Source organism: Homo sapiens, chromosome 15 (assembly GCF_000001405.40).
Source record: "Homo sapiens chromosome 15, GRCh38.p14 Primary Assembly".
NCBI lineage: Eukaryota > Metazoa > Chordata > Mammalia > Primates > Hominidae > Homo > Homo sapiens.
The window spans coordinates 74,681,796-74,697,352 of record NC_000015.10 but is presented as its reverse complement, the minus strand read 5'-3'; the positions used below and the strand labels follow the sequence as shown (position 1 = coordinate 74,697,352).

The 15,557-nt window shown below is 43.1% G+C and overlaps 1 protein-coding gene across 8 annotated transcripts in view, besides 1 other annotated feature; it reads left to right on the top strand.

The window, feature by feature from the left end:
- Nucleotides 1,280-1,369: an enhancer, noted in NCBI's record as "active region_9788". NCBI's record gives its function as "activates an Ori minimal core promoter by ATAC-STARR-seq in GM12878 lymphoblastoid cells {active_cell/tissue: GM12878}" and the evidence as "EXISTENCE:reporter gene assay evidence [ECO:0000049][PMID:35858748]".
- EDC3 (enhancer of mRNA decapping 3) overlaps nt 1,329-15,557 on the top strand; it is a 65,467-nt gene continuing 51,238 nt past the window's right edge. For 3 of the 8 annotated variants that reach the window (NM_001351379.2, NM_025083.5, XM_024450077.2), the window contains exon 1: nt 1,329-1,473. The gene's annotated coding sequence lies outside the window, so the exon portion shown is untranslated. Of the gene's footprint in view, nt 1,474-1,537; nt 1,988-4,334; nt 4,468-10,173; nt 10,263-15,557 lie in introns of those variants that run through there. The other 5 variants (NM_001142444.3, NM_001351378.2, NM_001142443.3 and 2 more) reach the window with 4 other exon arrangements.

Sequence of the window (15,557 nt, the reverse complement as noted above, 5' to 3'; positions counted from 1 at the left end):
TGAGCTATCAAGCCATGAAAAGACATGGAAGAACTTTAAGTGCATAAGTGAAAGAATCCGATGTGAAAAGGCTGCATACTGTATGATTCCAACTATATGGGATTCTGGAAAAGGCAAAACTATGGAGACAGTAAAAGGAGCAGTGGTTGCCAGTGGTTAGGGGACTGAGAAGGATAAATAGGCAGAGGACAGAGGATTTTCAGGGCAGTGAAACTATCGTGTATGATACCATAATGGTGGATACATGTCATTACATATATGTCAAAACCCACAGAATGTGCAACACCGAGAGTAAACTCTAATGTAAACTATGGACTCTGGGTGATAATGATGTGTCAAAGTTGGGTAATCAATTGTTACCAAATGTACCACTGTAGCACAAGATGTCCATGAGGGGACAAGTTGTGTATGTGCCTGTGTGTACAGGGGATATATGGGAACTCTGTACTTTCTGTTCAGTTTTGCCCTGAACCAAAAACTGCTCTATAAGTGTTCATTAATAACAGTAATTTTAAAAGACAAGGACCCCTTCTGACCTAGGGAATCTCTGGTGATGGAGGGGGAAGGGTGAAGCAGTCCCCTAGAAAGTGTAGATTTTACAAAGTTCTTCAACTGATTTTGTAGAGCTAGGTTTGGAACTGCTACCCTACTCTATGCTATTCGCCCAAGTAGTGGTTCCCAAACCAGGTGTCAGGCTTCAAGGCTGTGCAATATTCCTCATTACACGGTCTTGGCCCTAAACGCATGCTTTCCCGTCTCCCCACAAATCAAGACTCTAAAATGCCAGGGGTAGAAGAGCGGCACTTTCCTGTGTACTGAGTATGGGGGAAGGGAGAGCAGTCAAGCACGGACTGGCTGATTTTAACCCCCAAAAGGGCTGAAGCTGATACGCTTTGAAGATCGACCACGGCAGGAATATCTTGTTTTCTTTAATCCATCAGGGGGTTGTCGCACTTATTAAGTCCCACAGCTGCAGTTTAGCACGGAGGGGCTGTCACGTCACCAGGCCTCCCTGAAAGTCCTCCGCTCCAGCTCTGCGATTGGCGCTGGGGTAACAGGAGGGGAAGCGGGTGCTTTTCATCGAGCCTGCAAGAGGGGGGCCCAGGCATCGAGGCTGGGGAGTCGTGGGTAGAGCCCCGATTCCAGCCAAGACGCCACAGGACATAAGTAAGCGTGGAGGGCAAAATGACTACCCAAGCGCAATTCTGTAAGGCCGAAGGGACGTTCTTCCAACCTCTTAAATTTCCCGGGTGCCACGCCCCTCAATTGACGGCCCTGGATTCCAAGGTGTCGCGCCGGAAGTGACCTCACGGTGGTGGCGTGGAGACGTGGGGGCGCTTCCGGCAGCGGCGGCGGTGGTGAAGGCCGATGCTGTGGGGGTGGGCGTGGAGAGAATTCTTCTGTGGGTCCTCTGGTGTTGAGTGGTCGGCTTGGTGTGGTGTGCGGAGGAGCTCCAGGCCCGTCGGCGCGGAGGTGGGAGCGAAGGGAGGCTACTGGTTTGTGGACGGTCGTGGGAGGGGGCTGCCGGGGTTGCTTTAGGCTTCAGAGTTCCAGGCCTCGTAGACCTTTATAGAGGCAGGCAGGCAGGCAAGAGCTGGGGGCTTCATCGGATGAGCAGGGGACCACGTACTACGGGCGGCCCCAGGAGTTTGGTTTGAGGTGGAAGGCTGAGGACTGCAGGATTCTAAATAGTATGGGGATTGTGTGGGGAGTGAGGCATTAGCTGCTTGGGCCCTTAGTCCAGCCTTGTTGGTGGCTGCTGCAGTTCTTTGGCTCACTCACTCTGTTCTTCGTGCCTCAGTTTCCCTTTGCATAATGAGATACGGTGGCAGAGAAGAACGCCAGTGCCACATCCATGACTGATAGCTTGAGGACGGAGATGAACTGGAGGGTAGAAAAAGAGGATGCCTGAGAAATTTATACCTACCAGGTCACATCTTCGAATCCCAGGAAGTTATCCCTGGATTCATTTCTGCCTTTGATGCAAGTCTGTGGTTCTTTTCAGTACACTTTGTGTGATATTGATTGTATGTATCAATACTTGACTTGCTGAGTGGTTAAAGTGTTTTGGTTTGTGGGAGGCATAGTCCTTGTTGGCTTGGTCAGTTAATTTTCAGTTAATCTCCCAATAGCAATTGCTTCGCCTAACTCTTCAATTGGGAGATTAGTTGAAAATCAACTGACCAAGCCAACAGTCTTCTCCTGTGGTTACAGGTGAGGAACTCGCGACCCAGAATGGTTTTTCTTCTCTTCCTTCGCCACAGACCAAACCGATTTCAGTCTGCTGTCTCAAATACAGGTCTTCACCCCACCAAAACAGAAATGGCTGTCTCCAAGCAGTTTAGTATTTCAACTGGACACCCAGATGGATCCTAATCTTTTTTTTTTTTTTTAATGAATGGCAGATTACGTGTACTGAGCACAAAATCCTCTTAGCTAGTTTCTCTGTATGATGTAAAAACATGACATTTTGTTTATTACCAATTTCTTGGTAGAGCCTCCTTGGCATAGGGCTGTGGGGCTAGAAAAGTGTCTCAAAATTTTTTACCTGTGACCCACAGTTAGATATATTATACATCATGACTTATTGTGCCCCTGCACACTCAGTGTGTACACACACACACACACCAATGAAAAGTTTACTTACCCTTTCTACAGAAGATGCACTCTAAAAAAATATTGGTTGCAACTCACTAAATTGAGTCTGACCCCTAATAGGTCATGACGTATAGTTTGAAAAATATTAAGGCCGGGCACTGTGGCTCACGCCAGTAATCCCAGCACTTTGGGATGCTGAGGCGGGTGGATCACCTGAGGTCAGGAGTTGGAGACCAGTCTGGGCAACGTGGTGAAACCCCGTATGTACTAAAAATACAAAACTTAGCTGGGTGGTGGTGGGTGCCTATAATCCCAGCTATTTGGGAGGCTGAGGCAGGAGAAACGCTTGAACCTGGGAGGGAGAGGTTGCAGTGAGCCAAGATATGCTACTGCACTCCAGCCTGGGCAACAAGAACTAAACTTCTCAAAAAAAGAAAAGAAAAGAAAAATATTAGACTAGGGCCGAGTGCAGTGGTGGGAGGATTGCTTAAGGCCAGCCTGGGCAACATAGCAAGACTCTGTCTAAGAAAAACAACATTAGAAAATGTTTAAAATCCTTGCCATTTGTGAGATTCTGTAATTAATACAAAATGGAAGATGTATCATTTTTCTTTTCTTATCCAGAGAAGGGCTTACTAGAGTTCTCCTAAATTCAGCCAGAACAACAGGACAGGACATCCAAATTGTGGCTCAAAGGAGTGTAGTGACCATAATGATAGTGTGTCAGAATTTTAGCAAGGCATTTATGAAGTTTTTGTTTTTTTTTTTGAGATGGAGTCTCACTCCATTGCCCAGGTTGGACGGAGTGCAGTGGTGCAATTTCTGCTCACTGTAACCTCTGCCTCCTGGTTCAAGCGATTCTCCTGCCTCAGCCTCCCAAGTACCTGGGACTACAAGCATGCACCACCACGCCTGGCTAATTTTTGTATTTTCAGTAGAGATGGGGTTTCACCATGTTGGCCGGGCTGGTCTCGAACTCCCGACCTCAGGTGATCCACTCACCTCAGCCTCCCAAAGTGCTGGGATTACAGGTGTGAGCCACCGCGCCTGGTCTTACTGAGTCTTACTATAACTGAGTGGGCGAGATGGAGGAATTTGCCAGATTGTGGTAGTTAGATGGAGTCATGAGTTTGAAAATCTATGTATGGAGAGGTTTGATTTGTGGACACTACTTACAGCTGGAATTCCGGTGATCTAAACTGGGGTTTCATCACTTTCTTTATATACTTCATGTATTTGAGACCTTATCTAGAAGGTTTGCTTATTGGATTTGGTGCCTTTGTGAAGTAAAGAAAGAGTCATTTGGTTGGTGATTGCCAGAATGGGAAAAGATCTCAATATAATTTGCTCAGTGCTGTTTAATGAAATGAAGGAAGCATGTATAAATGTGAGAAATTGCGCTTGGGTCCAAACAAAATCAACTATACCTATTAGGGGAGGGTGGAGATGTGACCTCACAGGAGTTCTATAATAAAAAGATGTGATGTTTTAATCACCAATCAGTGGTGTGGTTAAGAAGGCTGTGAGAAGAACCGATGTGACCTGCATTAGTATATTGTATCAGGAAAATGCAAAATCTAGAATGAGAAAGGTTGCATCACTGGTAGGCTTGTACCTGGAATATTAGGTTTAGATCTAGATGTGCTAAGAGTAAATTTATGGGCAGAAGTCAAAAGTTTGAAGATATGGTGGTGTTGCTTTGGCATGAATGATTATTTTTCTCCTTGTCATTTCAGGCTTTCAGGTATAGGCTGGGTCACTAGTCTTAAAACATTTCTTCTTGAGAATGTCTAAAAGACTGTGGAATCTGTTAGATCTTATATACTTTTAAGTTGGCACCTGAAACTTTTCATCCTAGATTTACATAGTGTAAGTATTTAATTTTAAATAGTTTAGGATGTAATTTCTGACAAGTAAATATTGACTTCTTAAAAATAAATATAAAATTACCTAAATACAATATCAATTTGATGTTGTAAAAACATACAACTAAACTTTTGAAACAAAGACTGTAAGAAATACATAACATAGCTTATTACATTACTTGATTTTCAGATGTTAAACCCATCTTGCATTTGTGAAATGAACCCTGCTTAGTAATGTATCTACTACTTTTTACATATAGATGGATTCAATTTGCTAACATTTTGTTAATTTTTGTGACTGTGTTCATGATGGATATTGGTCTGAGGTTTCCTTTTTTTTATGTCATCTTTGGCCTTAGTAGCAGGGTAATTATGACCTCATAAAATGAATTGGGAAGTGTTCCTTCCTCCTCTGTTTTCTGAAATAGTTTGTGTAGGATTGGTATTATTTCTTACGTGTTTCATAGAATTTACCAGTGAAGTCCTATGGGCCTGGGTTTTTCTCTCTGGGAAGATTTTACTAATTCAATTTCTTAATATAGTTAGTTGAGTTAGTTTTGGTCATTTTTATCATTTTGGGAGTTTGTCCATTACATATTTTTCCTTTTTCTTTTTGAACTTGTATCCATTCCACTTTTCCCACAGAATTTTATCCTAAAGCAAAAGTCAACTTTCTGTCAAAGGCCAGATGAAAGGCTTTATGGGCCACATGGTTTCTGTGATTACTGCTTAATTCTCACTGTAGTGAGAAAACAGCCATAGACAATATGTGGCCGGGTGCGGTGGCTCACGCCTGTAATCCCATCACTTTGGGAGACTGAGGCAGGCGGATCACGAGGTCAGGAGATCGAGACCATCCTGGCTAACACAGTGAAACCCCGCCTCTACTAAAAAATACAAAAAAAATTAGCCGGGCGTGTTGGTGGGCGCCTGTAGTCCCAGCTACTTGGGAGGCTGAGGCAGGAGAATCGCTTGAACCCGGGAGGTGGAGGTTGCAGTGAGCCGAGATCGCTCCACTGCACTCCAGCCTGGACGACAGAGCAAGACTGTCTCAAAAAAACCCAAAAAAACCCAGAAAATAGCCGTAGATAATATGCAAGTATTTTTGTGTAGTTGTGTTCCAATAAAACTTTATTGGTAGCAGACCAGATCTGGTTTAGGGCTGTAGTTTTCCTACCCATCCTAAAGTAATAAATTTTATGCCTGAAAATTTAAAATTGATCATCTAGTTATCCACACAGATCAGGTTTATGAGAGTAGCATGGAAGTTGATTCCCTTGCTTGCATATCTTTGTGTACCCCCTACGGACATGTGTATTCCAGTGTAAAGACCAGGACTTGATTTCCAAGATGTTGTAGAGGGAATTCATGTATTTTTGTAATTTTGTTTGGGTGAGAAGTGAGGTGGCCCTCACAGCGCCATAACTTAAGTTCCCTATGTGATCGGTATTCTTTCTGGCAAAAGGAGACATTTGAACTAAAATTTTTTATGTTGTAGACACTATATGGATTATCTCATTTAATCTTAAAATAATCCATATAGTATCTTAAAATAATCCATATAGTATCTTAAAATAATTCATATAGTGGTTCTATGAGATAGGTGTATAATTGGCATAATTCCCTACAGATGAGGCAGTTGAGACTCAGATTAGGTAATTTGCCCAGGTCGTAGTGCTGGTTAGTAAGGAAGTTCAGAAGTGAACCAGGGGCTGTGATGTCTGATTTCATTTTTTTCTTTTTTTTTTTTTTTGAGACAGGGTCTTGCTCTGCCACCCAGGCTGGAGTGCAGTGGTGCAATCTTGGCTCACTGCAACCTCCGCCTCCCAACACTTCTGACTAATTTTTTGTATTTTTTCTAGAGACAGAGTTTTGCCATGTTGCCCAGGCTGGCTTTGAACTCCTAGGCTCAAGCGGTCAGCCCTCCTTGGCCTCCCACAGTGCTAGGATTGCAGACACTAGCCACCTGAGGCGTGAGCCACCACACCCAGTGTGATTTCAGAATTTTATTCTCTTTTCACCGTGCTGCCTTTTATGGAAGATATGGGTTTAGTACTGGATTTAGATAGGGGATTGTGCTGGATTTCTTTTTCTGAGGCGGGGTGGGGGTGGAAACAGTCTTGCTATGTTGTCCAGGCTGGTCTGAAACTCCTGGCCTCAAGTGATCCTCCTGCCTCAGCCTCCCAAAGTGCTGGGATGTAGGGCCTGAGCCATCATGCTGGGTTGCATATTTTCTTTTAAGATCTCTGCCTTTCCCAATATTTTGATTAAACAAACACCTTTCCTGTTGTGTGGAACAATTCCTAGTTTTTCAGAAATCTATAACTACTCACTCATCCACAGCTGTTAATTATAATTGTTTTTAGCAGGCCAAGGGTTGTTTATTGGATCTGAATGCTGTGAGTTGTCTGATGTGGCACAGAGATGGAGGTAGCTAGATTTGTAATTGGCAACTTGTTTATTTGTAATTTATGGATCATTTGGGCGCTGCCTTAGTAATATAATAGATGGAAGAGTGTTTAGCGCTACCTGACTTTGTTATCCAAAGGCTTATCAGAATAATGATAAAGTCCCATTACTTATCTGGCATTCAGTAGTCTGGAAATCCTGATAGTTCAGCATTTGAGCAAAATAGTCCCATAATTAAAAGTAATCTGGAAAATCTTGATTATGTCACATCTGTGGCTCCCTTCCTAGCTACACAGATTGTTAGGATAGATTTTAATAACAAGTTGGCAAAATAAGTGTTGGTTAGCTAGCTGCACAAACATTGCATTTTTTTGAAATATTTAACATTGTTGAATACTACACAGAAAAATTAGTTTTTTTTAGAAGTGGAATTGTTTGAAGGATTTATTGTCATGAATAGGCTTTACAGGGAAGATGTATTTTTTTTTATTGTACATCAAATCCTGTCAGCAAACTTACACTAGTAATGTATTAATGAGATGAAGGATATTCCAAAGTAGCTAGATTTGTAATTGGCAACTTGTTTATTTGTATAAGAACAAAGTGGTAAATGAATTAAAGTATTCTTACCTGGAGGTGTTTAAGAAATGGAGGCAGGGCCGGGCGCAGTGGCTCACGCCTGTAATCCCAGCACTTTGGGAGGCCGAGGCGGGCGGATCATGAGGTCAGGAGATCGAGACCATCCTGGCTAACACGGTGAAACCCCATCTCCACTAAAAATACAAAAAATTAGCCGGGCGCGGTGGCGGGCACCTGTAGTCCCAGCTACTCAGGAGGCTGAGGCGGGAGGATGGTGTGAACCCAGGAGGCGGAGCTTGCAGTGAGCTGAGATAGTGCCACTGCAGTCCGGCCTGGGCGAAAGAGCGAGACTCCGTCTCAAAAAAAGAAAAAAAAAAAAGAAATGGAGGGAGAAGGAAGACAAATAAGACTAAATGAACTTTGGTAGCAAGTTCTTGACTGAATAGTAATTCACAACATCTCTGAATTCAGTAGTCATTACAATTTTAGGAATAATTTATTGGGAGAATAACAGTATCAATGAAGCAAGAGTAAATAAGAAGTATGTTTAAGAAAATACCAAAACCATTGCACCCCACCAGAATGAGTAAGTTGAAGAGAACAATAGTACCAAGTTTTGGCAAGATGAGGAGCAGAAAGAACTCACGTATGGTGGGTTGTATAAATGTAGATGGTAATACAAAATGGTACAACCACTTTGGAAAACTGTTCAGTGGTTCCTAATAAAGTCATAAATATAACATGACTTCCTGTGTTATATGCCCAGTAGAAATGGATGTATTTGTCCATCGCAGAAATATACTGTATACAGTTTAAGAATATTATTTGTAATAAGTCAGAACTAGAAATAACCCAACTATGTATCAGCAGTAGAATGGATAAATACATTGAGGCATGCTTACAGAAAACAGCACAGCTATGAGAAAGAATAAACTTCTGATACATGCAACAATGGGGATGAATCTCACAAATGTACTTTTTTTTTTTTTTTTTTTGAGACAGCATCTCGCTCTGTCACCCATACTGGAGTGCAGTAGCAGGATCTTGGCTCACTGCAACCTCCGCCTCCCCAGTTCAAGCGATTCTTGTGCCTCAGCCTCCTGAGTAGCTGGGATTACAGGCATGTGCCACCACGCCCAGCTAATTTTTTGTATTTTTAGTAGAGACAGGGTTTTGCCATGTTGGCTAGATTGGTATTGAACTCTTGACCTCAAGTGATCCACCCGCCGTGGCCTCCCAAAGTGCTGGGATTACAGGCATGAGCCACCATGCCTGGCCTCACAGATGTACTTTTGAGCAAAAGAAGACAAACACTCTGAAAGAGAACCTTTATGATTCTGTTTATGTGAAGCTCAAAATCAGGCTCAAATAATCTTTCATGATAGATGTCAGAATAATAACTACCTGTAGGAGGACACAATGGAGCCTTTTGAGGTGTTGGAAATAGTCTGTCTTGTTTTGAGTGGTGGTCACATGGGTGAATTGATATGTAAAATTTCAGGGAGGTGTACACTTAAAATATGTAGACTGACTTACTGTATATGTTATACCTTGATAGAAAAGTAGAAAATAAAAGACAAGATTGGTTCCTTGTAGCTCCTGTATCTCCTGTACTTCTTTTGACGTGGAGGTGTTAGCTGTATAATTGATGGAGCCCCTTCCCTAGTCCGATTAGGAACCCAGTTGATGGGCACTGTACTTGTTTTAGATTTACTGTTTTCTGTAAATAGCATAATTTTCTTTATAGAATAAACCTGTTTGAGGAGTTTTGAATAATGCTATTTTACCAAGGGAAGTTTCTGAGGAAAGGGAAGTTTGTTACACATTCAGTGGTTATATTTTTAAAAGTTTCTATTAATATTAACTACATAGAAGAACACTTATAAACGAGTATCCACATTTTCAAAGTGTTAAAAATTCTATTCAGTTACTACTACCATAATATAAACTTGAATGCACAACATCAGTGTCTTAAAGATATATGTTAAATAAAACAGTAAAAGCCTTTTCATATCTGGTTAATTTCTGGTGCTTTTTATTCTGCATCTATCTAAGCATCTGAGTAGAATTATGATGGATTATAAATGATAGGAAAGGAAACTCATGCTTTTGTGACATTAGGCAAAGGTTGATCAGGAAGGGAAAAGAAGCCTAAAATGTGTGTATTTTGTGCTTTTTTACCATCATCATTATTGTTGAAATTGTGTTGCATTGAAAATTTACCCAAGGGCCAGGCACAGTGGCTCATGCCTGTAATCCTAGTGCAGAGGCTGAGGTGAGCAGATCACCAGAAGGCAGGAGTTCGAGATCAGTCTGGCCAACATGGTGAAACCCCATCTCTACTAAAAATACAAAAATTAGCTGGGTGTGGTGGCGGGCGCCTGTAGTCCCAGCTACTCAGGAGGCTGAGGAAGGAGAATTGCCTGATTGAACCTGGGAGGCAGAAGTTGCAGTGAGCCAAGATTGCGCCACTGCACTCTAGCCTGGGCGACAGAGCAAGGCTCTGTTTCATTCTATAATAAATGTAACAAAAAAAAGCCTGTATGAGCCTGCTAATTCATTGTTCTTTTAATCTTCGGTTCTGTCCGCATAGTTTTATGATACTGGCTCAGTTAGATCACTAGAGAACTATCTAGAGTTTGATTAATCCCTAGAGCTGGACTCTTTCAGACTTAGTGTTTCTAATGGGGCATACTGTTTTTTGTTTTTTTTTTTGAGACAGGGTCTTGCTGTGTTGCCCAGCCTGGTCTTGAATTCCTGGACTCAAGTGATGCTCCTGCCTTGGCTTCCCAAACTCCTGGAATTACAACTGTGAGCCACTGCACCCAGCCAGGAGTGCTTTATTTTTATTTATTTTTTATTTTTTTCTAGACGGAGTCTTGCTCTGTTGCCCAGGCTGGAGTGCAGTGGTGCGGTGTCGGCTCACTGCAGGCTCCGCCTCTTGGGTTCAAGCAGTTATCCTGTCAGCCTCCTGAGTAGCTGGGATTACAGGTGCATGCCACCATGCCGTCCACGTCGGCCTCCCAAAGTGCTGGGATTATAGGCGTGAGCCATTGCGGCTGGCCTGGAGGAGTGCTGTATATGCTTTTTTGCCCCTTTCCCTTCATTTATGTATTTATTTTGAGACAAAGTCTTGCTCTTGTTAGCAGGCTGGAGTGCAGTGGCGCAATTTCTGCTCACTGTATCCTCTGCGTCTTGGGTTCAAGTGGTTTTCCCACCTCAGCCTCCTAAATAGCTGGGATTACAGGCACCCACCACCACACCTGGCTAATTTTTGTATTTTTAGTAGAGATGGGGTTTCACCATGTTGGCCAGGCTGGTCTCAAACTCCTCAGGTGATCCACCTGCCTCGGCCTCTGAAAGTGCTGGGATTATAGGAGTGAGCCACCGTGGCTGGCCTATTTAATTTTTTTTGAGATGGAGTCTTGTTCTTGTTGCCCAGGCTGGAGTGCAATGGTGTGATCTCAGCTCACTGCAACCTTCGCCTCCCAATTTCAAGTGACTCCCCTGCCTCAGCCTCCCAAGTAGCTGGGATTACAGGCATGCACCACCATGCCCGGCTAATTTTTTTTTTTTGAGACCGAGTCTTGTTCTCGTTGCCCAGGCTGGAGTGCAATGGCACGATCTCAGCCCACTGCATCCTCCGCCTCCCGGGTTCAAGCGATTCTCCTGCTTCAGCCTCCTGAGTAACTGGGATTACAGGAACATGCCACCGCATTTGGCTAATTTTTGTATTTTTAGTAGAGATGGGGTTTCACCTTGTTGGTCAGGCTGGTCTCGAACTCCTGACCTTGTGATCCACCTGCCTCAGCCTTCCAAAGTGCTGGGATTACAGGCGTGAGCCACTGCGCCCGGCCAATTTTGTATTTTTAGTAGATATGGGGTTTCATCATGTTGGTCAGGCTGGTCTCGAACTCCTGACCTCATGTGATCCACCTGCCTTGGCATCCCAAACTGCTGGAATTATAAACGTGAGCCCCCACACTCAGTCAGGACATACTCTTTTACCAGAGGGGTGCTTTATATGCTTTTTTGCTCCTTTATGTCTGAAATTAGTATTTGAAAACAGTTTCAAGTGCTGGTTTCTTTTTTTAATGTAAAAACACTGAACCAGTGTTTCACTTTGTGCTTAACATGTGTATTTATATTCATCTGCTATCATCTGCTAGCTGTTTTCTGACTTCCTCGTGTGAGTGGGGAAGTGTTAGGTTTCATACCTTATATAGGATTTTGCATAGAGTATGCCCAAGGATACTGTATTTTTTAGAACCATTTTCAAAAAGAGCCAAGACATTTAGATATAAACATGTAGGTACTCTAGATTTTGAGTAACTTCTGTCACGTTTATTATTTCTAATTCATTCATCGATTGATTAAATATTTATTGACTTCTTCCACTCTAGGCACTCTTATTGACTGAACAAGACTATGTCATTTGTCCTATTCTAGTGGGGTGACACACACACTATCTATCTATCTATCTATATACTTTTTGTTTTGAGACAGGGTCTCACTCTGTCATCTAGGCTGGGGTGCAGTGGCCTGATCATGGCTCATTGCAGCCTTGACCTTCCGGGCTCAAGTGGTCCTCCTGTCTCAGCATTCTGAGTAGCTGTAGCTTGTATTACAGGCATGTGCCACCAAGCCTGGCTAGTTTTTTTAATTTTTTTGCAGAGATGGGGTCTCCCTATGTTGCCTAGGCTGGTCTCAAACTTCTGGACTCAAGCCATCTGCCCACCTTAGCCTCCCAGAATGCTGAGATTACAGGCATGAACCACCATGCCTGACCAACACACACAATATGAAGAAACAAGATAATTCATATAGTGATTGATTTTGAGATCATAACAGGATTTAAGGTGTTGGAGAATAACGATGAGTAGCCACGTTAGATTGGGTAGACAGGGAAGGCTTTTTTGAGATGGTCATGTTTTACCAGATGTCGGAAAGGCAGGATGGAACTAACCATTCATAGAGCTGGGGAAAGTGTTCTAGGAATAACTTGTGTAAAATTTGGGAAGCCTTGGCCTCCTAAAGTGCTGGGATTACAGGCATGAGCCACCATGCCTGGCCTAAAATTTCATTTTCAGTTGTTTGCTGCTGTTGTTGTTTTTTCTACATCGAGCATATATCCTGTGACCTTGCTAAATTTCCTTATTAGTTCTAGTAGGACTTTTTATGGATTGACTGTAAACAGCTAATTATGTCATTGCAAATAAAGACAGTTTTACTGTCTTATTTAACTTTATTATTTATTTAACTTTCTGGGTTTTTTTTTTTCTTTTTCTTGTCTTATTACACTGGCTAGGACCTACAGTTGTTGAATATAAGTACAAGTGGTGAGAGTGGACATCCTTGCCTCATCCTCAGTACTTGGGGAAAGCATTTATTTCAACCCCACCTTTTTTTTTTTTTTTTTTTTTGAGACAAAGTCTCAGCTGGGCATGGTAGCCCATGCCTGTAATCTTAGCACTTTGGGAGGCCGAGGTAGGCAGATAGCTTGAACTCAGGAGTTGGAAACCTGGGCAACATGGCAAAACCCTGTCTTACAAAAAATACAAAAATTAGCTGGGTGTGGTGGTGTGGGCCTGTAGTCCCAGCTACTCAGGAAGTTGAGGTGGGAGGATCAATTGAGCTGTGAGGTCAAGACTAGCTTGGGCAGCAAAGTGAGACCCTGTCTCTACAAAACAGAAAATATTAGCTGGCCATGGTAGCATACACCTATAGTCCCAGCTACTCAGGAGGCTGAGGCGGGAGGATCACCTGAGCCCAGGAGCCCAGGAGGCTGCAGTGAGCCAAAAAAAAAAAAAAAAAAAACAGAAACAAAAAACCAAAATATATAAAATAAAGACAGTGTCTGGCTCTGTTGCCCAGGCTGGAGTGCAGTGGTACAATCATAGCTCACTGTAACCTCAAACTCCTGAGCTCTGTGATCTTCTTGCCTCAGCCTCTGAAAGTGCTGAGATTACAGGTGTGAGCCACCATGCCTGGCCTATTTCACCATTAAGTATCATGTTAGCTGTAATTGTTTTGTAGATGCCAGCTTTCCCTCCCCTTTTTAAATATAGTGAATGATTGTTAAATTTTGTCCAATTATCTTTCTGCATTTATTGATATGATTATACATGATTTCATCACTTATTTTGTTAATGTGATGCAAGGCATTGATTTTTTTTTTAATTAAACTTCTGAGATAGTTGTAGATTCACATGCCATTGTAAGAAATAATACAGAGAGATTCCTTATGCCCTACCCAGTTTCCCCTGTTGGTAACATCTTGCAAAACTGTAATACAGTATCACTACTAGGATATTGACATTGATATGGTCAAGATGTAAAATATTTCCATTACTACAAGAGTCCCCCATGTTGCTACTCTGTTGCCCAGGCTGGAGTACACTGTCACGACCTTGACCTCAGCTCACTGCGACCTCCGCCTCCTGGGTTCAAGTGATTCTCCTGCCTCAGCCTCCCGAGTAGCTGGGACTATAGGCGCTTGCCACCACGCCGGGCTAATTTTTGTATTTTTGGTAGAGACGAGGCTTCGCCATGTTGGCCAGGCTGGTTTTGAACTCCTGACCTCAGGTGATCCACCCTCCTCAGCCTCCCAAAGTGCTGGGATTACAGGCATCAGCCACTGTGCCCGGCCCTGTTCTCCATTTCTATAGCTTTGTCATTTCAAGAATGTTACACAAATGGAATCATACAGAACACAACCTCTTGGGGTTGGCATTTTTACTTTTTGCCCTGTGGTATGAATGTACCACTGTTTGTTTATTCACTCATTGAGGTTATCTGAGTTGTTTCCAGTTTGTGGCTTTTTTGAGTAAATGTGATATAAACACTTGTGTACAGGGTATTTTATTTTATTTTTTTTCTGAGACAGAGTTTCGCTCTTGTTGCCCAGAATGGAGTGCAGTGGTGCGATCTGGGCTCACCACAACCTCTGCCTCCCAGGTTCAAGCGATTCTCCCGCCTCAGCCTCCCGAGTAGCTGGGATTACAGGCATGCGCCACCGCTCCCAGCTAGTTTTGTATTTTTAGTAGAGACAGGATTTCTCCATGCTGGTCAGGCTGGTCTCGAACTCCCGACCTCAGGTGATCCACCTGCCTCAGCCTCCCAAAGTGCTGGGATTACAGGCGTGAGCCACTGCGCCCAGCCCACGTACAGGTTTTTGTGTGAACCTAGGTCTTCCTTTCTCTGGGATAAATGACCAGAAGTGCAACTGCTGGGTCATATTGTAGTTGCATGTTTAGTTTTTTGGTTTTTTTTTTTTTTTTTTTTGAGATGGAGTCTTGCTCTGTTGCCCAGGCTGGAGTGCAGTGGCCCCATCTCGGCTCACTGCAAGCTCCACCTCTTCAGTTCACGCCATTCTCCTGCCTCAGCCTCCCGAGTAGCTGGGATTACAGGAGCCCACCACCATGCCCGGCTAATTTTTTGTATTTTTAGTAGAGACGGGGTTTCACCGTGTTAGCCAGGATGGTCTCGATCTCCTGACGTTGTGATCCACCCGCCTTGGCCTCTCAAAGTGCTGAGATTACAGGCGTGAGCCACCGTGCCCAGCCTTGGGTTTTTTCTTTTTTTGAGACAGAGTCTCTGTTGCTCAGGCTAGAGTGCAGTGGTGGGATCACGGCTCACTGCAACCTGCGCCTCCCAGGTTCAAGCGATTCTCATGCCTTAGCCACTCAAATAGCTGGGATTACAGGTGTGCGCCACCACACTTGGCTAATTATTGCATGTTTAGTTTTTTTAATAACCTGCCAGGATGTTTTCCAGAGTAGCTGTACTATTCAATATTTGGACTAGCAATGTATGAGTGATCCATTTTTTCCACATTCTTACTAGCACTTGGTGTTATCACTGTATTTTAGCCATTTTGAAAGGTGTATATTTCCTAGATACTACTCCTTTGTCTTTGTCAGATAGGTGGTTTGCAAGTATTTTCTCCCAGTCTGTGACTTGTTTTTTGTGGAATAAAAATTTTAATTTTCAAGAAGTCTAGTTGACCAGCTTTTCTTTTTATGGATTGTGCTTTTGGTGTCAAGTCTAAGAACTCTTTGCCTAGCCCTAGATCTTGAGGGTTTCTCTTATGTTTTTTCTAAAAGT